This window comes from Homo sapiens, chromosome 3 (assembly GCF_000001405.40).
Source record: "Homo sapiens chromosome 3, GRCh38.p14 Primary Assembly".
NCBI lineage: Eukaryota > Metazoa > Chordata > Mammalia > Primates > Hominidae > Homo > Homo sapiens.
In genome coordinates, this window is record NC_000003.12 from 13,279,347 (window position 1) to 13,302,470 (window position 23,124).

General features: G+C 50.8%; 1 protein-coding gene across 6 annotated transcripts in view, besides 1 other annotated feature; it reads right to left on the reverse strand.

The window, feature by feature from the left end:
• IQSEC1 (IQ motif and Sec7 domain ArfGEF 1) overlaps positions 1–3,911 on the reverse strand; it is a 386,215-nt gene extending 382,304 nt beyond the window's left edge. For all 6 annotated transcript variants that reach the window (XM_047449348.1, XM_047449340.1, XM_047449347.1 and 3 more), the window contains exon 1: positions 3,365–3,911. In XM_047449348.1, the coding sequence (XP_047305304.1) occupies positions 3,365–3,636 (272 nt within the window). In that variant the 5' untranslated portion in view covers positions 3,637–3,911. The remainder of the gene's footprint in view (positions 1–3,364) is intronic.
• Positions 22,441–22,530: an enhancer, noted in NCBI's record as "active region_19485". NCBI's record gives its function as "activates an Ori minimal core promoter by ATAC-STARR-seq in GM12878 lymphoblastoid cells {active_cell/tissue: GM12878}" and the evidence as "EXISTENCE:reporter gene assay evidence [ECO:0000049][PMID:35858748]".

Genomic DNA, 23,124 nt, shown 5'->3' on the forward strand with positions numbered 1-23,124 from the left:
ATAATCAAAGTAACCACAGGCATCCCATCACTGTATTTTTTCCTGTTATCATCCTGTTTTTCCCAGAGCTGAGAAACTCATGATGGTATTTTTCAGGGGGTGTCAAGGCATGAAAGAGCACTCTCTGAGAAAGGCTTAAAGGTTTCTGGACTTGTACACTTCCGGCACGCAAAGTCATCCTGCCCATGGACTGCATGGATGGGGCAGTGCCAGGCTAACTGTTGTCCCAGGACGAGGCTGCTCAGTGATCTCTCAATTGCATCCATCCAACCCCCCTCGAGTCACTGCACCTTCTGTCTGTGTGGCGGGCTGGGGGCTCCTGACTCACGCCAGAGAATCTGGAGGCTGAGTAGGAGGTCCACCAGGCCTGGCTTAGCCTGGCATGCTCGCCAGACCCTCCCTCACAGGGCCTCTGTGTGCAGGTAGGGGGAAAGGGGAGCAGAGTCCTCAGCAGGAAGTCAATCCTGATGCTGTGGCCTTGCATGGCCCTGTCACCTTGGGAAACCCATGCTCAACCCCCACCTAGCCTCTGGGCAGCCCTTCTCACGGTACCCCATTTCCCTCTCCATGCCTCCTGCCCCTGGCTCCAAAGGTCTCACCCCCTGCCTGTGCTCAGTTGGCCCAAAAGAAATGACAAACAGGTGGACAATGGAAGAATCTGACCTGCATTAAGCACTTACTGTATACCAGTTTCCTCCATGCCCATCTTTGCTTAATTCTCAAAAAAGTATGGGAGGCAGCTATGATCATTCCTGCTTTGCGTGCATTTCAGAAAACCTGAGGCTACGAGGGGTAGTATGACTTGTCCCATGGTCACCGGCTGGGAAGTGCAGGGCTGGGCCTAGGACCCTAGTTTGTCCACTCATGTTGCTCTCTCTACACAGAGTTGCTTATTCTCTTCCTCTCCATTCTTCCTCTTATGTTTCCAAGCACATTGATAATGAGTCTGCATACAGCAGGTGCTTAATAAAAGTCCTCAAGGGGATTGGTTATCCCATGTTCCTTAGGCATAAATCACCTTGCTCTGCAGATGGGCAGTGGGATACATCCAATCCATGGTTTGCTGAGCAGCCCCGGGGGGGCCCAGAACCCCACGCATGTGAGCAGGCCATGTGATGCCCCCGTCCCTGTGAGTCTCCTGTGAGGGGAGGAGACTCCAGCATTCTCCTTCCCAAAAGACTAGGGAGTGAATCAGATGCACAAAAATGGGTCCGGCTGCTCCATCTTGAAGGGAACCCACCCACAGCTCCTGCTCACACCAAGACTCCCCACAGCCTCACTGCTCACCCTGGGGTCCGGGCCCAGCAGCAGCGGGTGTCCTAGGAGCTGGCTAGAGATGCAGACTCCAGCCCACCCCAGACCCACTGGCTCAGCATCTGCATTGTAGCAAGATTCCCAGACTCCTGGTGTACACATTCAAGTTTGGAAGCTGTGCTTGACCTAGACCGTGGGCTGAGGACTGTGCTGCCACTCTGCTTTCCCTAAAGGCAATGCTCTCCCTCACAGGCCTTGGCTGTGTCTCCACTAAGGGGAAGCCAGGTGGACACAGAACCAGGGACTTCTGAAACAAAATCCCAGCCTTCCCATCCCGGCTTCCCGGCCAAGGCGGCTGCCTGGATGCAACCCAGGGGGATGCCCCACGGAAGGACGACGTGCTCCCTCTCAGCATCCTCCTGTCCCCTGCGTGGTCACCAGGGGTGACGCTGAAGGGAAAAAGGAAGCCATTCCCCAGGGTGGTGTTGTGAGGCATGTGCTGACCAACGTGTCACTGCTTCCCATGAAAGCAGGGACTTGGGACCTGCCCTGGTGCCGCCTCCCCAAGCTGCTGAGGACTTTCCTTGGGCAGCCCCAGCTTCTCTTTTGGTCCTGGTGTGGGAGAAAGGGCCCGGGCCCCTGTGAGACCAGCTCCGGGAGACCCACAGCTGCTGTGGCAGGACTGAAGAGTGAAGGGAGTCTCAGAGACTCCGGAGGGCCAGGAGTGGGGCCCAGACAGGCAGTGGGCGGGGTCTCTGCTTCCTCCCAGTGACACCAGTTAGGAGCTATACACACGTCCCGCTCCTCCTTCTCCATTCACAGAGAGCAAGAGCCTGACACCCACGCCTGCCACGCACAGAGCCATGTATGTGTTCACCCACAGCCCGACCCCATCCTCACAATGCTCCTCCTCCAAAGAGCCCCCCAGCCCCACCCGCACCGCCCAGAGCCAGCACACCCTCCAGGCAGGGCAGCAGACAGGGCCTGTCCCATGGCCACAGTCGCTGCAGCCCCCCTGGGGTGGGAAACTCGGGTTTCCATGACAGTACTGGGACTCCTGGGAATCAGGAACCACCCCACCTTCTGGGGCCACAGCTAACTCCTCCCCCATTTCCACCCTGGAAGGGCCGCCCAGCAGGAAGACTGTCCTGAAGCCCTGACCACGGCCACTCCCCCAACCACACAGTGATTTCTAGTCTTCCCCAGGCCAAGCCATAGTGGGCCCCGGGTGATCCCGAAGACAGAGAGGCAGAGGGGCAGGCAGAGGGCACAGAGCAGCAGAAACCCCGCCCCAGAGACACCGAAGCCTCCCAGCCCCCTTGTCCTGCCCCAGATGGGCGCCCGAAGGTCCACACGGTGAGGCTGCTCCGGGTTTCGACACCGACACTCATGGGAGGCAAACGGGAACCCGGCTGGCGGGCTGCGAGCCGGTAGGGACGCTGGGGTCCAGGGCTGCTGGACAGCCCCGCCCTGTACCTCTCCCCATCCCTCACTTAATCCTGGGTCCGAAATAGCCCCGGGTAATCCCAGGGCGAGGCAGTCGGGAATTAACCCCAGCCTTGAAGTAAGAGACAGAGGCGTCCACAGAAGAGGGCTCTGCGCGTCCCGGACTGGACACAGCGCAGAGTCCATTCCAGGGACACCGCAACCCGCAAGCGACCCAGGCCCGCTCCAGGGCGGGATCCGCGCGGCCCGCGACCCCTCCCTACCGGTCTCGGGATCTCTGGGTCGGAAGTTCTCGCCCTGCTGCTCCGAGACCTAGGTCCGCTCCCCGGACAGACCTCCGCCCGGCTCGTCCGAGCCCCGGGGGTCGCCAACCCTGAGTCCGCGCCGCAGCGCAGAGCCAGGCCGGCGGGAGCGCTGAGCAGCTCCCTGGAGCCCTTTTCCAGGGAACCCAGTCCCCACCCGAGATCGAGCTCCGGATCTGGGCGGCGACCCCGCCAGAGAATCCCAGGGAGCCCCTGGGGGTCTGGCGGCGGGTGTGGGCGCTCCCGGGCCGGCCACGCGCCCTCCCGCACCCGCCCACCTCCCCGCCAAGCCCCGAGGGAAGCCGCGGACCCCAAGAAGTTCCCACGTCCCCGACACGCCCGCCGCCCCGGGCCCCGCTTACTTGTCGCGGCGGCCGCCGAGCTCCGGGATGGCGCCGAGCGGCTGCGGGCCGGGGCCGGGGCCCGGGTCGGGGCGGCGGGCGCACGCGGCCAGGTGTCGCCGGTGTCGCTCCAGCAGGCCGGCGTTCTCCCGGCTCAGCCGCGCCACTTGGCGCTCCAGCTCCTCGATGCGCCGTCGCCGGCGCGCCAGCAGCTCCTGCTGCGCGGCGACGATCCGGGTCAGCTCCTGCAGGTACTCGGCCGCCTGGCCGGGGGGCTCGGCGGCGCTGGCCATGGCCCCCCGCCCGGAGGCCGGCCGCGCCTCAGGCGAGCGGGCGGCGGGGCGGCGGCGGCGCGGCCATGGCTGCGCGGCGGGGACGGCGGCTCGGCGCGGCGCGGGGCTGCCGCGGCCCCGCCTCGGCTCCCGCCTCCGCCGGCGCCGCCCCCGGGGCCCCCGCGCCTCCTGCTCCCCGCGCCGCCGCGCTCCGCCGCCCGCTGCCCCGCGGACGCGCCGGGGCGGCAGGGCGCGGAGCTGCGGCCGCAGCGGGCAGGCGAGGAGTTTTGCAAAGTGCCGGCCGCGGCGCGGGAAGAGGGCGGGGAGGGCGCCGCCTGCTGGGACCGCCCCTGGGTCCCGCGCCCCCGCACCAGGCGTCGGGGGACAGCTCCATCCTTCTCCGGCCGCCTCGGGCGCCTTAAATCGGAAGCGATTCCGTGAAATACATCTCGAATCCATCAGCGGACGATTTTAGGAAAAGTGTAAATAAAAAATCAACACACTCACGAGAACATTGGCATTTCTTATTGATCTGAGTCTACCAAAACACTGGGTATGGGCAGGGTGCGGAGGCTCACGCCTCTAATCCCAGCACTTTGGGAGGCCGAGGCAGGAGGATCGCTTGAGCCCAGGAGTTTGAAACCAGCCTGGGCAAAAGAGCGAGACCCTGGCTCTACAAAAATACCAATAAAATAATAAAATAAAACACTGGGAATGTTTTGTACTTGTAGAAGCAAGACGTTTCCCCGGCCGTCCCTTCCCAGTTGCAACCAGAAGGTGGCCCTGAAGCCTCCATGGTTCTATTTGCTGAGCTGCCAAGGCTCAGGGGCCCAACCCACCACTCACACTTGCGGTGGGGAACTGATAATCTGTGGAGGGAAGCCCCGCCTCTGCTCGGCGTTGAGATCTGCAGCAATTTGTTTTACCCCTTGGAGCCTACCTTTCCTCAGCCAAAATATTTTCCATTTGTTGATTATTTTCTTAATCTTTGTAATTTTCATACCCCAAGTTTCTTTGGGGCTAAACTCACTTTTCTATCTCCTTGACTTGAGCTGGCTTATTTCTACAGTTCCATTTTCTAGCAAATGCATTTAAGGCTATAAATTTACCTCTGGGTAAAGCTTTAGCTACATCTCATATATTTTTAAAGCTGTTATTTACATGCGGGTGGCATTGCCTTTGTTACACCAGCTTCACTGACACTTGGTGTTCCATATTTATGTTTGTTGCTATCCCTCCATCCCCAGGAGAGGAGGAGACTGCATAGAGAGACCTCAGACCCTCCAGGGTCCTCAGGCCTCCTTCGGTGTCCCACCTTGGCTGTCCCACGGGCAGGGCCCAGAATGGTAGTGGGGCCATGTAGTGGAAGCCTCAAGTTCCCCAAGGACTGTTATACGAGGATGAGATCATACACACACCACCCTAAATGAAAGCTCAACACAACTTTAAAATTGTCCCTCATTTCTAAGACACGTCCTGTTCTCAAGATTAATGTTATCTTTATAAATCTTATCATCACCTTTTGAAGAACACCATCAGATACCATCCTATTTGTACATGTACAAATCATTGATCATTTTGGTTTATAAATTGAAAATATACCAACATCTTTGCCACTCTAATCTAATATCTCCTCATTTGATAATACCTGAGGAGCTTCCCAAAAAGGGATCCGTGTAGCCCAGGCTTCTCATGACCTTATGGGAGGCCTGACCCTGCAGTTGCGCACGGGTCTCTGCCAGTGTTTGGGGCTGGAGGGAAGGTAACTCTAAACCCTGGTGCCTGTCAGTGAGGATCATGGCTGATGGACAGAGCTGCAGGGGTTGGGGAAGGAGCAGCCAGGCTCCCTTTCTATGCTCAATGCCCATGTGGAGCCCCCAGACACCCCTTCCAGCTGTTCCCGATTGAAGATGACCCCACATCTCCATCTCTGCACTACCTCCTTGCTCCCTGAGGCAGGTCACCTTGCCACTCAGCAGACAGAACACCCAATCTGTACCAGGCCCGGATGACACCAGACACCATAAGGGGAGGAGGCCTCAGCCCTGCCTTTCAGGAGCTTCCAGGCTTGGCCAGGGCAGAAGATGACAACAGGCCGACAAGGTGCTGTTCGAGCCTCCAGGCAGGAGCACTGCACCCGAGGCCTAGGCAGGGCCCTGTCCTCCTGGAATTGCCATTCCCCAGGCTCTGAGGCAAGCAGAGAGATCCTCAGGGCATAGGTGGTGAACAACAACAGTGGCCTTCCTGGCCCACTCCCTGCTCCTTCCGGCCAGGATCCCTGGACTCCTCTTTAGGCAGTAGGAGTGGGAGCAGGGAGCCCCTCGGGCCTGTCCTCTCCCTCTGCCTCACTCATCTGCCTTGCTTTCCATTCCTGGGACTCGGGGGTGTTCCAGCGACAGCCAGCTCCCCGGAGCTGGAGGTTATAGGGGAGTCTGCCACCAGCAATGGGGCCAAGTCCACCCTCCTTCCTGGCTCCCAAACGAGGGAGGAACAATGCCTGTCCCCACCAGAGAAGGGAGGCCTCTTCCTCAAAGAGCCTCAGCCAGCCACTCCTTTAGTAAATGTGGCCGAGCATCGACTGTGGCCAGGCTCTGGGCCCATGCTCTTTAAGAGTTCTCACATGGAGACAGAGAATGAGCAAGGGGGATGAGCAGGCACAGGCCAGGGCCATCCCACAGGGCCCCACATAAAAGCCCTGTGGCCTGGTCCTCCAGCCTCCCTGCTCTGACCCCCGCATGCAGTGAGTTAATTGGCTTCCCACCTGCTTCTGGACTGGACTCGGGGCTCTTGGGCACCCAGGGGTCTCTCCCAGTCTCACCACATGGCCCCGGACATAGGAACACTGATGAGCAGAGGGCAGATGAGACACAGAGGGACAGGGTGGATTGCTTTCACTCGGCTGGCAGCACCAAGACGTCAGAGCAGTTAAAGGCCGTCCAGTTCAGCTGCAGTCTCTCATCTAAATTCCCACGATGTGCAATAAAAGAATCAGAGCCTCTAGAGTCCTTGAAGCACCGTGTCATGGATGCTGTGGTTGCTGCCCAGATTCCCCCTTCAAGGTGAGGCCCTCGCCTCGCACCAGCTCAGCAAAGACCGTCTCAGGAAATTGCCCTGTGCTGATGGAATCTTCAAGGTTACATTCCCCTTCCCAGGGCAGCCCCCAACTAGTGACTGGTCCATGCAGGAGGACAACAGCCTGGCCCCCTTGCCTCAATTTGGGCAACTCTGCAGGGTCATCCTAGCTCCAGAGCTCCCGTGGGATTAGCCAAGCCTCTGTAGGATTCACACTGTGGCCCAGCCTCTCCCTCTGCCAATCCTGCCTCTTCTCTCCCTCGCTGGTGCTGGCCCCTGAGCTCTCCCCAAGAAACCTCCTGTGTGCAAACCTCCCTCTCAGAATGTTTCCCTGGGAGGTGACCCAGGACATTCTCCTTCCCTTCCCTTCCCTTCCTCTCCCATCTTGACACCAGTCCTTTGACCTCGTTAGGATTTATAGGATGTGCATGCTAGTCTGTAACTCTAGTTAAGGTCTCCCGGCTTTGTATACAGATACGTTCTGCCACCTGAAAAAACTGATAACCGGCATTTCCAATGTGATAAATTCGAGGCCAAGTAATTTAAATTCAATTGCAGAAAGGAAGATGTGAGTGTGCACTCCAAAAAAATAAAGGTTACAAAAATATGGAGGAGGAAACAGAGAAAGGGGAAGTATACTATGTAAAATCATTTGTGAATTTTCCTATTATTATTCACATCCAGCTTCTTGGTAAGATCATCAATCTTTTTAATATTGTCCTTTTTATAAGAAATTCATTTTTTTCCTTAAAAACCTTCCCCTGAGCACTCTCTGACTCACTATTATAATTTGGGCTGGCTACTTCCTGGGCCTGCTACACAGCTATTATCAGGGATTTCTTGGCATTACACTTCTGGATTGAGTCCACTCTTTCTTGGATCCTGTGTATTGTCTTTCTTGGGTTCATTTTCTACTTTGCAGAGTATATCCTCAGGCAATTCTGCCAGACACAGCCTATGGGTAGGTCTCTGAGTCCTTGTGTGTCTGAAAGTATTTACTTTGCCCTCAGATTTGATTGGTAGTTTGGCTGGGTATAGAATTCCGGGTTACAAATCAGTTTCCTCAGACCATGGAAAGGTTTGCTCCATTTTCCTCCATTACCTAGTGCCGCTGATGTCATTCTGATTCTTGTTCCTTTAGAGAAGAAATTCTCTTAAGAGGGTATTGTCCCTGGTCAGAACATTTGAAAATCTGGTGGGGGATGTTTTTGGTCATGAGAATGACTGACAATGCTCTGACATTCAATGGGCAGGGCCCTGACATACAGCACACAGGGAGTGTCATCCAATACAAACTATCCCACTCACATCACCAAAAAGCAAAGCAAAGCGGAAGGACTTACTCTATTAGATTTCAACACTTATTATAAAGCAAGAGTAATCAAAACAATGGGTACCAGTGTCAAGAGAGACACATAAATTGACAAACTAGAAGAGAGTCTCAAAGTAGACCCACACATATGTGGGCAATCAATTTTTGACAAAGATGCCAAAGCCACTCAATGAGTGAAAGGATAGTCTTTCAACAAGTGTTGCCTGAGAAAGCTGCTGGGATAATATGCAAAAGAATGAACCTCTGCCTCCATTTCAGAGTATCTACAAAACTAACTGGGACTAGATCACAGAACCCATGTAAGAGCTAAATAGGTACAACTTCTAGAAAAGCTCTTAATGGCCTTGAATTTGGCAAATATTTCTTAAATGTGACGCCAAAAGCATGAACTCTAAGTGAAGAAAAAATCAGCAAATTGGACTTCACTGCAATAAAAAAAAAAAAGCTTGGTCTTCAAAAGAAACTGTTAAGAAATGAAAAGGTAAGTCACAGTCTGGGAGGAAATATTTGCAAACTCGATATCCAGCAGAGGACTTGTGTGTAGAATATATAAAGAACTTTTACAACTCAATAAAAACAAGAAAAAACACCCAATTAAAAATGGGCATACGTTTTAAACAGACATTTCACCAAAGATATATAAATGCCAAATAAGCAAATTAAAAGAAGCTCAATATCATCAGTCATTAGGGAAATGCAAATTAAAACCCCAGGGATTTAGAGATGACACCAACAGCAAAGCAACAAAGGAAAAGGAGATAAACTGGGAAACAGCAACGTTGAAAGCTTCTACGCTTTGAAGGACTTCAGTAAAGAAAGTGACAGAAGAGAAAAAACCCACAGAAGAGAAAATGTTTGCTGTTCACATGTCTGATCAAAGACATGTATCTAGCATACATAAATAAATTTTACAACTCAATAATAAAAAAGGCAAATAACTCAACTTAAAAATGGGAAAGGATCTGAATAGACATCACAACAAAGAGGATATCATAAGCACAAGGAAAGATACTCAACATTATTAGCCATCAGAAAAAAATGCAAATCAAAAGTTTGACACACCAGTTAACCGCTTATACCCACCAGGTGCAACCCACTAGGTTGGCTGGACTAAAAACTACTAGCACAAGGCCGGGCGCGGTGGCTCATGCCTATAATCCCACCACTTTTGGAGGCCGAGGCGGGTGGATCACGAGGTCAGGGGTTCAAGACCAGCCTGACCAACATGGTGAAACCCCGTCTCTACTAAAAATACAAAAAAATTAGCTGGGCGTGGTAGCGGGTGCCTGTAATCTCAGCTACTCAGGAGGCTGAGGCAGGAGAATTGCTCGAACCCCGGAGTTGGAGGTTGCAGTGAGCCAAAATTGCACCACTGCACTCTAGCCTGGGCGACAGAGCAAGACTCTGTCTCAAATAACAAAACAAAACAAAACCAAACAAAAACTACTAGCACTAACAGGTGTTGCTGAGGAGGGAGAAAGATTGGAGTCCTCATACACCACTGTTGGGAATGTAAAACGGTGCAGCTGCTTTGGAAAATTGCCTGGCAGTTCCTCAAACATGTAAACATTTAAACCACACGACCCAGCAATTCCACTCCTAGGTATATGCCCAAGAGAATAGAAAACATTATGACTCTTGGAAACATCATGCTGAGTACAAGAAGCCAGTCACAAAGGACCACACATTGTATGATTCCTTTCCAGTGAAATGTCCAGAACAGGCCAATATATAGAGGCAGAAAGTAGATTAGTGTTTGCCCACAACTTAGGGGCAGGAGTGGAGGGTGAAGATTTCCTTATGGGGTAATGAAAATGGTCTGAAATTGACTGTGGTCATGGTTGTACACATCTACGAATACTCTAAAGGTCATAGAGTGGCACACTTTAAAATGGTGAGTTATTTGACATATTTACTATATCTCAGTAGAACTGTTAGGAAAAAACCACACTGAGATACCACCGCATACCAACTAGAGTGGCTGAAAGTAAGAATACTGGTCATTCTTTTAGTGTTCCCGTGAGGGCTCAACCTGGAGTAGGGCGATGGGGTGCAGTGAGGGTAGGTAATTGGCTTCCCCACACTGAGCATGAAGCCCCCCGCCACAGGAGCCCTGTACTGGGTCAGAGCCTAGATGCACCTGTCCAGGGAAGCCTCGCCAGCCTCTCACCTAGGCTGTAACCTCCAGCCAAGGGCCTAGCCCAGAGAAGCCACAGATCACTGGGTCCTTGTTGAAGGAATAAATGTGTGAATCAGTGCCACAGTCATGGTAGAGACATGGCTCTCAGTCCCATAACTGAACTTGACCCCAGGACAAAGGTTGCAAATGGTGCAGCCGGCATCCCAGCCCAAGACAGGCAGCGTTTAACATAATGAGTATCCGCTGCCACCATTTTAAGGGCAGGAGATTTCATACAAAGAATCTAGCCTTGGGGTTCTCTGGGACAGGCCCTGTCTGGCTGCAGTTGTCTCCAGGTGAATGGTGGCCACCTTCCCTGAGTCCTTCCCTTCACCGGTCTCACAGGAGCATCAGTTTTCCCACCCCTAGTTCCCAGAGGCCTGCCACCCCTGATGCTGGGGGCTCGGGAACCGTCCTAGGACTCACGCAGTTCACCCTTCCTTGCCATTGCGAGAGTGGGGGCTGGAGGCTTTCTGAGGCACAGACCCAGCTCAGTGACTCTTCTGCCCTGCTCTGTTGGCCAAAGCAAGTCGAGAGTCTAGCCAGGCACACGACAGGGGCTCCGTAGGTGACACTGTCACCTCCTGCAGCTGTCCCCCACCCCCTAGCCTGGCTTGAAGCCAGGAAGATGGAGGGAGGGGGGAAGGGGTGCACCCTCAGGATACCCAGCCTGCTTAGCTCCTTGGAGGCGGCAGCAGGAACCCACCTCCCTGCTGTGGCTGTCCCACCTGGCCACCATCAGATGCCCTCTGCTATTGATCAAGTTGGGTGCTTATGTGGTCATGTTTACCAACCCCTGGAGGGCACTGGGCCATGGAACCCTTACCCTATATTGACTGAAGAAAAGATCAAGCTTTTAGAAAATCAAAGTCAATTTTTTTTTTTTGAGACGAAGTCTCACTCTTCTTGCCCAGGCTGGAGTGCAATGTCGTGATCTCGGCTCAATGCAACCTCTGCCTCCCGGGTTCAAGCGATTCTCCTGCCTCAGCCTCCTGAGTAGCTGGGACTACAGGCATACGCCACCACACCTGGCTAATTTTGCATTTTTAGCAGAGACGGAGTTTCTCCATGTTGGTCAGGCTGGTCTGGAACTCCTGACCTCCGGTGATCAGCCGGCCTAGGCCTCCCAAAGTGCTAGGATTACAGGCGTGAGCCACCGCGCCCGGCCGAAAGTCAGTTTTATGTAGAAGCTTGACTGAGGACTATAGACTGAGGCCTGTAGCCAGGAGCAGCCCTTTAGAGAGGCTCTATCAGGCCGTTCCTGCACAGCATTTCAGCCCATGGCTTATATACAGGTGGTGGAGGATTAATGTGTGCAAATCCACATTAAACTTGTTCAGAAGTTACATTACAGCAGAGTCACACCTAGGTTTGGGTGTGGAAGTGCATGTGCTTAGCAGAAGCACTAAACCCAGCAGACATTATCTTAATGTGTGGGAAAAGGCAAGGACTGGGGTTATTTCACTTCTAAAAAATAGTGACTCCGGTCAGAGATGTGGGAGCCTTGTGATCTAGCCTGCTTTGCCTTCAAAACATCTTTCTGGAGAGCTACACTTTATGCTGACAAGCCAAAATGAGCAAACATGGCTTCTTAGGTTTGTTACTTTGTCTCACAAGTTCCCTCTTTTGCTCATAATCAACTATTAGTTGCATTTACAAGACAAACACTGATTGTCTTATGTAGCCAGGAAGACTCTTGCGTAGGAAGGCAGGGAAGCTTCAGTGGTAGTTGTATCGGGCTCAGCATGCATACTTGGCTATTTTGCAAAAAACACACTTCAGATTGCATCTACTTTTAACTAGCATGATCTGGGGTTTTTTTGTTGTTGTTGTTCTTTGTGACATTGCCTTTTCCTGTACCTAACACAATACCTCAGCAGGAGGACTATTACAAGGATATTACAGATTATAGGTAGCAATACATATTTAATAGCATTAAAGTGAGTTACAGATTGTAAAACCCACGATAACCATTTAACAAAACTGGAACATACATTTGAATAGTTTTTTTTTAATCGATTGTAATATTTTTCCCCTTTTGGTACCCATATTTAGTATAGTCTTTTTATGAAAAACAATTTTGGACTAGAGCTGATTGCAAGTGTTTTTGTTTTTGTTTTTGAGACAGGATCTCACTCTGCCACCCAGGCTGGAGTACAGTGGCATCATCATCACGGCTCACTGCAGGCTCAACCTCCAGGGCTCAAGCGATCCTCCCACCTGAGCCCCCTGAGTAGCTAAGACTACAGGCTCACATCATCACACCTGGATAATTTTTTAATTTTTTTTAGACACCAGGTCTCACTATGTTGTCCAGGCTGGTCTTGAATTCCTGAACTCAAGCAATCCTCCCACCTCAGCCTCCCAAAGTGTTGGGATTATAGGCGTGAGACACTGCACTCACCCTGCAAATGTTTTTACAGAATAATTTATAACAATAACTGTGGATAATAAAACTTAGAATAGCCTTGGTTAAAATCTGATGAAAGTTTTTAATTGACAGGGAAATTTAGTTATTTCTATTTCACACAGCATTTTATGATAACAACCAGAATTATGACTGATGGTGTCACATCAGGGCCATTAGATGTTTATAAATTTTATATAATCTTTGGAACACTTATATTAACAACATATCCACACACATATAACTTACAAACAATTTAATATAACAATCAAAATTATTACTGATAACATTAGATTTTTATGAATTTATATTATTTTTGGAACATTTATATCAATAACATACCCATAAATGTAACTGAAAAAAGATCTAGTATCATTTATCATTTGACAATGCCTCCCATACAATTTACCAAACAATTTAAATCATTTAATATCTGCACAGGATGAGAGATATATTTTGCGGGAGTTTCCAGGGACACACTGGAAAATCCCATTTTTGGCCATTTTAATGTGAAATCTCCTTTGGTAAAGTCCTCCCATCCAAGGAGACACTTGCCAGTGTAAGCTCCATGTGTGTTATACACAAAGCCTGCTGGAGTGCTGACTGGAGGTTGGTTGTTCAATGACCCTGTTGTTTCAGTTTTGGATGATTTATTTTCCATTGTGAGAGCTCAGCAAAGCAGGACTGCTATTGAGAAACGTAGTGGGGAGATGAGCAGCTTTGGCTGGGCACAGTGGCTCACCGCTGTAATCCCAGCACTTTGGGAGGCTGAGGTAGGAATATCACTTGAGCCCAGGAGTTCAGGACCAGCCTGGGTAATATAGTGAGACACCGTCTCTACAAAAATAAATAAATAAATAAATAATAGCTGAGCATGACAGTGTGCACCTATAGTCCCAGCTACTCAGGAGGCTGAGGAGAGAGGATTGCTTGAGCCCAGGAGGTGGAGGCCACAGTAAGCTGAGACTGTGCCTCTGCACTCCAGCCTGGGATATAGTGTGAGACCCTTCTCAAAAGAAAATGTGCTGTCCTGGCTGAGCATGGTGGCTCATGCCTGTAATCCCAGCACTTTGGGAGGCTGAGGTGGGCGGATCGCTTGAAGTTAGGAGTTCAAGACCAGCCTGGCCAACACGGTGAAACCCCGTCTCTACTAAAAATACAAAAAAAAAAAAAAAATTAGCGGGACATGGTGGTGGGCGCCTGTAATCCCAGCTACTCAGGAGGCTGAGGCAGGAGAATTACATGAACCACTCACACCAGCATGGGCAACAGAGCGAGACTCTGTCTCAAAAAAAAAAAAGAAAGAAAAAAAGAAAAAGAAAAAGAAAAGAAAAGAAAATGTGCTGTTCTGAGCACAGCCAATGGCTGTCTTACGTGTCTCAGTTTCTCCCTCGGGTTGCCTAAAGCAATCGTGGAGGCTCAGCGTACTGGGTGACTAACCCTCCCGTGTGCATCTCCAGATGAGCCACTTGTTAATTACTTGTGACAAAGAATTTCCTGTGGGACTGATGCACATCATAAGGATTGTACCTCCAACACTTCCAGAGATCTCTGGTCACCTGGACATGCCAAGTCAGAATCTGTCTGAAGGAGCGGGTGTCCCTTGTCTTCAGAGCTGACGCAGGTCAAACCCTCAGAGATTTATAATAGTGTCTGTCATGCTGAAACCTTGTTTACAGAGGCAAACTGAAAGGGAAGCCCTGGCACAACCCAGCCAGTGAGACAGCCTCACCTATCTGTTTCTTCCTAATATGTTTTAACTAGGAGAATTCCCTTTCTGGAGAAATGAAAAGTCTCGAGGAAGAACTTACCCCACATCAATAAGCAAGGACAACAAGTTGGAAAAAAACGTCAGGACCATCAGCTAAATGGAAGGTCTGAGACTCAGGAGAGACTCATCCAGTTGTCTGCAACCATGGCGGAAGCAGAGACGCTCACAGGGCCTGTGCTGGTACCAGGGTGCTGCATGCCCACAGCGTTCCAGATGACCATGGGCAGTCTAGTCTGAGTCCCTTTGTGGTCACCATGATTGTCAACTAAAGAAAGAAAAAATCAGGCTTTCAAAGAATTAAAGTCAGTTTTCTGTGGGAGCCTTAGTGAGGACTGTAGACCGAGGCCTGTAGCCAGGAACAGCCCTTTAGAGAGGCTCCGCCGTCAGGCCGTTCCCGCACGGCATTTCAGCCCATGGCTCATATACAGAAGGTGGAGGGTTAATGTGCGCAAATCCACATTAAACTTGTTCAGAAGTTACAGCAGAATCACACCTAGGTTTGAGTGTGGGAGTGCATTTAGGGATCACAGAGGCATAAGCACCAACCCCATCAGACGTTATCTTATGTGTGGGAAAAGGCAAGGACTGGGGTCATTTCACTTACAAGGAATATAGCGGCTCAGGCGAGAGATGTGGAGAGCTGCATGCTCTGTCCTACTTTGTCTTCAAGGCATCTTTCTGGAGAGCTGCACACAGTCACAGGGTGAGGGATTCACACAGAAATGAGCAAACGTGGTCTCTTAGGTTTGCTGCTTTGCCTGACACCCACCAGTGGCAAGTAGCAGGCTGCCTGGCTAAGACAGATGCTGTGTGCTCGGTAAATCGAGTCTCGCTGTAGAACACAGAGCCACGATGCTGTGAGGGGCATGGGCTGAAGGGAAAAGCCCCAAAGGTGAGAGCCGGGGGCCTCTCATCCCGGAACAACGACTGCCTGCCAAATTCCTGGTAGGTGCCAGCCATCTCCCCCTAACCCAGTACAGGGGCCCCTCCCAACAAACAGGGGTGCGGGATGGTAGGGCGCACTCTGCAAATGAGGAAGTGGAGCCTGTGAGGGGAATCATTTGCCCAAGATCACTCAGTGCATTAGGGGCAGGACGCGGTTGTGACCTTGAGTTCTAAGCCCTGAGTGTGTGGCTTCCCTGGCCCTGCACCCCTTCCAATGGCTTATGGATTATTCCACTGTAATGGGCCGGCTGCTCTCATGCCCATCATAGAGGACAGCCGCAAGAAAGGGGCATGGCCCAGCCAGCAGTGCCCTTCATCACGGGGCATCCACGTTCTGTCCTCCACGCTTCCTGAATTTTTTTGCCTTGCTCACATCATGTGCCCCCACACCTTTGCATTTTTATACATGCTGTTCCCTCTTTCAGATACCCCTTCCCCACACTCCCCAGATTGGCAAACTCCTAATCATCCTACAAGACCCAGTTCAACTGGCACCTCCCTCCAGCAGCCCCAAGTCCTCCAGCCACTGGGGTTGGGAGGCTCCTTTTAGCTCTCAAAGCTCTTCACCCTGCAGGGCTTTTTTGGTTTTTTTGTTTGTTTGTTTGTTTGTTTGTTTTTGTTTTTGAGACGGAGTTTCACTCTTGTTGCCCAGGCTGGAGTGCAATGGTGTGATCTTGGCTCACTGCAAGCTCCGCCTCCTGGGTTCAAGCGATTCTCCTGCCTCAGCCTCCTGAGTAGCTGGGATTACAGGCATGTGCCACCACACCTGGCTAATTTTGTATTTTTAGTAGAGACGAGGTTTCTCCATGTTGGTCAAGCTGGTCTCAAACATCCAGCCTCAGGTGATCTGCCCACCTTCCAAAGTGCTAGGATTGCAGATGTAAGCCACCGCACCTGGCCCACCCTGCTGTTTTTAAAAGATGGTCTTCACCAGTTTGATGGGGATGTGGGAAAATAAAAACTAACTCTCAGACATTGCTGGGTGATAAATGGCACAACCTCCTCACAGAGCAACTGGAGAATCTTGAGGTGGATTTCAAATGCACACACCCTTTGACCCGACAGTTCCAATTTTAAGAACGTATTCCACAGATATGCTCACTCACATGCTCAGCAGAATCCAGGAAAGCCCCTTCTGCAGAGCCTCGGCAGCCCCACGTGAGGTTGGGGAGGCTCTCTGTGGACTGATGAGGGCGACCCTTCAGATAAAGTGACAAAAGCCCGGCACAGGACAGTGGCTGTGGGATGTCCCCAGGAGTGCAGAAGTCTGAAGCAATGTGCAGCATCATGAGCCTGAATATGTTCAGACTATTTCCAAGATACACCCTAGGTAATGTTAAATGGGTGCCTCTGGGCTTTTTATACCTCCTCATATATATTTCACGTTTTCACAAAATAATGGTAGCCTGAGGTAGGAAGGAGACTGAGTCTATAACCTTTCATAAAGTTCAGGTACTGTTTTCCATGCACAGGTATCACCTTTTCTTTTTCTTTTTTCTTTTTTTTTTTTTTTTGAGACGGAGTCTCGCTCTGTCACCCCGGCTGGAGTGCAGTGGCATGATCTTGGCTCACTGCAACCTCCGCCTCCTGGGTTCAAGCGATTCTCCTGCCTCAGCCTCGCAAGTAGCTGGGACTACAGGCGCGTGCCACCATGCCCAGCTAATTTTTCTATTTTTAGTAGAGATGGGGTTTCACCGTGTTGGCCAGGATTGTCTCCATCTCTTGACCTCGTGATCCGCCTGCCTCGGCCTCCCAAAATGCTGGGATTACAGGCGTGAGCCACCGCGCCCGGCCCCACATACCAGCTTTTCAAAATGTAACCATAATGATAAACTGAAAGGGAACGACGATCGTGGGGTGTGATACTCTCTATGCTTATCTCCCTCTCATTTCAACCTGGATTCTGAGAGCAGGGACCCTGTCTGATTAATCCCTGCACCCTCAGCTCCCATACCCTGTCACCAAGAAGAGCCCAGGAAACATCTGACGAATGGGGAATGCATGATTGAGAAGCCTGTAATATTACCAGGCTGGGGTGGTCCCTGCCTTCCTCATTCGGAACTGAATCAGTAAAGGTGTTCTTCCCACAAGCCTGAGGCAGGAAGGAAGCCCGTGCAGGGCTCCCCGAGGCTCCCAAGCACGCAGAACACACACTGGCAGGAAACAGAGGCCAGATGGCAATGGAGGACTCTCCCCTTCCCCCGCATGCTCTCATCTCCAACTTCCTTTCTTGTCTCCACTCTTTCTGCTTATCTGCCTCTTCATTGAGGAAGTGTCGGGCACAGGAGGGATGGGCTGCTGGAAAGAGTCAGAACTAGGAAAACTGCATGGCCACCACTGTGCTGATGAGCCCTGGGCAGCTCTCCTCATCCATTTGAGCTTCCCAATCCTCATCTGTGGACAGGCAGTTTAACCCCCCCTTGCCAGGTGGCTCTGAGGATGAAATAAGATCACCTGTGGAAACACATGGAAAGTAACTGGCACATGGCAGGTGCATGTATTGTCACTCCTGCCTGATCCCTGGCTCTGAGATTTATCAGAATCCACAAAGATCGAGTTGGAATGTAGACATGTTAAACAATAAATATGATTAGAAAACTGTACATCTGCATGTTAAAAATGTAAAAGTAACCACTAGAAAAATATAGATAGAAGGTATAATTTCCAAACCACTAGAGGAAAAACAAAATAGAACCAAGACAGTTTGATCAATTTAAGAGTGAAAGAAAACAAAATCATAATTAACTGAAAATACAAAGGAAGATGGCTGAATAAGTCCCAACAGATCAACAACTACAATAAATGTCAATGTTTTCAACTCACCTATTAAGAGGCAGAGAGTCTCAGATAGGCTTTTGATGAAGTCCAGCTTCTATGTGTTGATAAGTAAGGTGAAAGCATCACAAGAGCTCCCTGGGGTTGAAGTTCCTGCCTGCCAACTTCTCTGCACTCCTCCTTACCTCTCCCATCCTGATGCTCCTAGCCTTAAATCCTCAGAGCTAACGAGCTGGGTCCCTTGCTCTCTGGGTAGCTGAGGAGCACCCTGTGGTCACTCCAGATAGAGTGGGCTGGTTGTCGCAGTCACTTGTCCTTCACCTCCTTTCTGCAAATCAGGAAGGATGCTCATTCCTGAATTGAATCACATTGCAGGACGAGGTAACTGGCTACAAGTTGCTGGAGACCCTAGGACAGCTGCACACTGCCCTCTTGGAGGATTACAGATCCTTCAGTGTCTTTTGTCCCCAGGGCCAAGCCCCTGGAGCACATGTACACAGAGCACAGTATCAGGACTCAGCCCTATGTAAATATCTTTAGCCTACTCTCAGCTGGGCCTTTATGGGAGACTCTGAACCCCCCTTAAAAGAAAGGGAAGAGGCCGGGCGTGGTGGCTCACGCCTGGAATCCCAGCACTTTGTGAGGCCGAGGCAGGTGAATCACGAGGTCAGGAGATCGTGACCATCCTGACTAACACAGTGAAACCCCATCTCTACTAAAAATACAAAAAAATTAGCTAAGCGTGGTGGCGGGTGCCTGTAGTCCCAGCTACTCGGAAGGCTGAGTGGGGAGAATGGCATGAACCCGGGAGGCGGAGCTTGCAGTGAGCCAAGATTGCACCACTGCACTCTAGCCTGGGCGACAGAGCGAGACTCTGTCTCAAAAAAAAAAAAAAAAAAAAAAAAAAGAAAGGGAAGAGGACCAGAAAAAGGAGTCAACAGAGTTAGATCATTAGCTGAAGCTATCTGGGATATCCTTTATTACAAATGAGGAAACCGAGGTCCAAAGAGAAAGAATGGTTTGTCTAAAGACGCGCAGTGTGTTAATGGCAGACCTCTCCAATATAGTCCCAAATTTGGTTATTCAAATACTGATGTCATGAATTCTGCCACAGCCAGGGTACAATCTAAATACACGTTTGATTTTTTTCTTTATTTTCTTTCTCTTACAACTTTTTTTTTTTTTTTTTTAGAGACAGAGTCTTGCTCTGTTATCCAGGCTGGCAGGATGTGAACTCAAGGGCTCAAATCTATCCTCTCCTCTCAGCCTCCTGAGTAGCTAGGACTGCAGGCCCAAAGCACTGTGCCCAGCTGACAACAATATTTTTCATTTTAAAAGTTTCCTTACCAAAAGACACTTAGTCCATAAAGCAACTTTATGTCACTTGCCATAAACTGAAGGTAACTCATAAAATGAATGGGGTGAAGACATGTCTTTGGTTAGAAACTGTTGTCATTTCAAACCGTGAGTTCAAAGACTGCTCTTTTCCTGTTAAAAAGGGAGATTTGGCCCAGGTGCAGTGGCTTACGCCTGTAATCCCAGCACTTTGGGAGGCCGAGGTGGGCAGGTCACTTGAGGTCAGGAGTTCGAGATCAGCCTGGTCAACATGGTGAAACCCTGTCTCTACTAAAAATACAAAAATTAGCCAGGCATGGTGGCACACGCCTGTAATCCCAGCTACTCAGGAAGCTGAGGCAGGAGAATCGCTTGAACTAGGGAGGCAGAGGTTGCAGTGAGCCGAGATTGTGCCACTAAACTCCAGCCTGGGTGACAGAGTGAGACTCCATCCCCCCACCCCTCAAAAAAGGGAGATTTGCAAGCACTAGAGAGGTGTTAAACACTTATCAGCACCTACCTGAGACCTTCTACTTTTTTTTTTTTAGATAGAGTCTCCCTCTACTTTCTATAATAAGAAGGATTGCAAGAGAAATGAAAAAGGATGGACCTTTCTCTCCGTCACGCCGTGTTACTTCATGTGCTTCTGTGCACATCTCCTAATCTCAAGGACTTTGTCTCAGGAGTCCTGGGGCCCCAAAGGCTGGCCCTAACCTCCCCACCCCATGTCCCTGCCTATCCGTCTGTAAAATGGGGATCATAATCCCTACTGCTGAGGGATGTTGGAAGCCGAGAAACAGAGTAGGGTAACATGGAAATCCCCAGAGGGTGTCCTCCCGTGTGGCGTTAGAGGTGTTATCATCATCAAATTTTGAAGGAGGGGGCACCTCTGCAGCTCCCCCAGCCCCCACTGGGAGGGTTGCTCCCTCGGCAGCCATCAGGCTCTGGAGTGAAGTCCTCTATGAGATCGCTCACATCCCGCCACATGGGCAGGCTGGCAGATTGGCTTCCCTAGGTGGGACACCCCCTCCTCTGCCTGGCTCCCAGTTGAGGCCTCTGTCTCTGCAGGAAACCTGGGTGTCTTAGTCCATTCCTGCTGCTATTACAAAGCATCTCAGACTGGGTAATTTACAAAGAACAGAAATTTATTACTCACAGTCCTGGAGGCTGGCAGGTCTTAAGATGAAGGTGCTGGCAGGTTTGGGTGTCTGGTGAGGGTTGCTCCCTGCTTCCAAGATGATGTGTTGTTGCTCTGTCCTCACACGGAAGAAGAGATGAAAGGGCCAGGCAGCTCTCTGTTTTTTGTTAGGGTTTTGTTGTTGTTGTTGTTGTTTTGTTTGTTTGTTTGAGACAGGGTCTCTGTTGCTCAGGCTGGAATGCAGTGGCATACACACGACTCACTGCAACCTCCACCTCCTGGGCTCCAGTCATCCTCCCACCTCAGCTTCCCAAGCAGCTGGGACTACAGGCACACGTCACCATGTCCAGCTAGGTTTTCTATTTTTTTGAAGAGATGGAGTTTCACCACTTAGCCCAGGCTGGTCTCGAACTCCTGGGCTCAAGCAATCAGCCCGCATCCAAAAGTGCTGGGATTACAGGCGTGAGCCACCGCGCCTGGGCCAGGCGGCTCTCTGAAGCCTCTTTTAGATAAAGAAATTAATCCCATTCATGAAGGCAGAGCCTGCATGTCCCAACCACCTCCCAAAGACCCAACCTCTTAATACCATTGCCTCAGGCTTTCAGGTCCAACATGTAAATTTTGGAGGGATACATACATTCAAACCATAGCACTGGGCTTGTCACGATCCCCACTTTCCCACCCACTCCCTAGCAGGGGCTGTGCTCCCTGGAGCAGGCACTGAAGGTGCCATTTATAAAGCCGGAGCTGGAAGAGCCCTGCAGGGTCACCTCGTGCAACCTGACCCTTTTACAGATGGGAAGACTGAGGACAAAGGCAAGGCCTCTTCCCTTAGACCCTTGGGCACAGTATCTCAGCCAGGAGCTGATCAGAGGTCCGTGAATATATTTGGGTTTGGGAGTGGGGAAGGGAGGGAAAAAAATCACACTGACACGTCAAAATGAATAAATGTTTAATTAAATGCCCACAGAACATAACATTAGTCAACTAGTCAATTGCATCTCAACTCCACTCTTGTGTAGTTATACATAAATTTTATTTAATGAGGCATGTGGGTGCCTTGTAATATGTTGATATGATGGGGTATGGAAATGCCAAACTAGAACCTAGCAGAGGTCTTAAAATAGCTCTGCCCACAAAAGAGAAGGGGTTTGCCAAAGAGCCCTCATTCATTCAACAAGCACTAATGAGACTGTGAAGCCAGCAGAGCCCACATGAAGGGCCTCTGACCCTGCCTGGGGCAGCTCAGTCCTCCCTTGCCTCTGGCTCTCATCTCTGGGTATGCTGTCCTAGACATCTCTCTATCCATCTTCCCTAGAGCAGGGTCCCTGTTTGCACATATGGGGAAACTGAGGCCCAGAGAAGACAGGGCAGGCGTGAAGTCACATCGAGATTCACTCAGTGGCAGAGCTGGGATCAGCATCCAGACTCCCCTGCCACGCCCCTCCTGGAAGCCGGCAGGCCAACATCCCCAGGGACCCTTCCCCACCCCTCATGAATATTCCCACGGCTGACCCAGCCCTCCCGCTTCCAGAAGTCTGCAAGAAAACCCATTACAGATTCATGAGGCACCTACTGCATTTCTAATTAAGAGAACACAGTTATTCTAATTTTAACATCCCTCTCTACTACCTCCGTCCCCTCCCCTTCCCCTGCATTTATATAAGGGATGTTTCTGCCTCCTGAGAGTGTGATGCAGCCCGGATCTCTCGCCTGTTGCTTGGGATGAGTCATCTTTTGGAGGGCTCTTTGTAATGCGGGTGACGCTTGTTCTGAGGTCCCTGACAGACACTTCCCCATTAAGCAAAGAACACCAACCCAGGGGCACTGGACCAGGCTGGAGGTTGGAGGGCTCAGCTCCTGTTGACCAAGACCCTTAAAATAAAATCCAGCCACCACCCCAGGCCTTCGGGGCTCTGCCTGGGCTTGCCCTGTAACTGACTCGTCTACCCTAGTATAGGGTTGCCAGATAAAATACAGGGCGCTTAGTTACACTGGAATTTCAGATAAACAACAAATCATTTTTTTTAGTACAAGTATGTTCCATGCAACTTCAGGACACTTGCACTTGAAAAAAATCAGTCATTGCTTATCTGAAATTTCAGTTTACCTGGCCATCTGGCAACCTACTCCGGCCACACTGGCCCTTTGCTGTCCCATAATCCCGATAACTTTCCCACCACAGGGCCTTTTCATGTGCTGTTCCTTCAGCCTGGGACCCCTACCCCCACCCCAACTCCCTGACACTGAGGTCTCACTTCAGATGTCACTGCTGCAGAGCAGTCTTCCCTGAGCACCAGACAGAAGTGGGGGCCGCCACCATCCTCCCTCCTATGGCCTTGTCTTATCTTTCTCGTGGCACTTGGCACCGCCTTGGAAACAATCTTATTTACTGACTTTTCTGTCTCCCCCACTAGAACATCAGGTCTGTGAGAGAAGCTGAGCCCATCCAGCAGAGGGCAGGGTGCAGTCAGTGCCCAACGCATGTGTGTCCAATGATGTTTAGTATTTCTTTCTTTTTGGCCGGGTGTGGTGGCTCACGCCTGTAATCCCA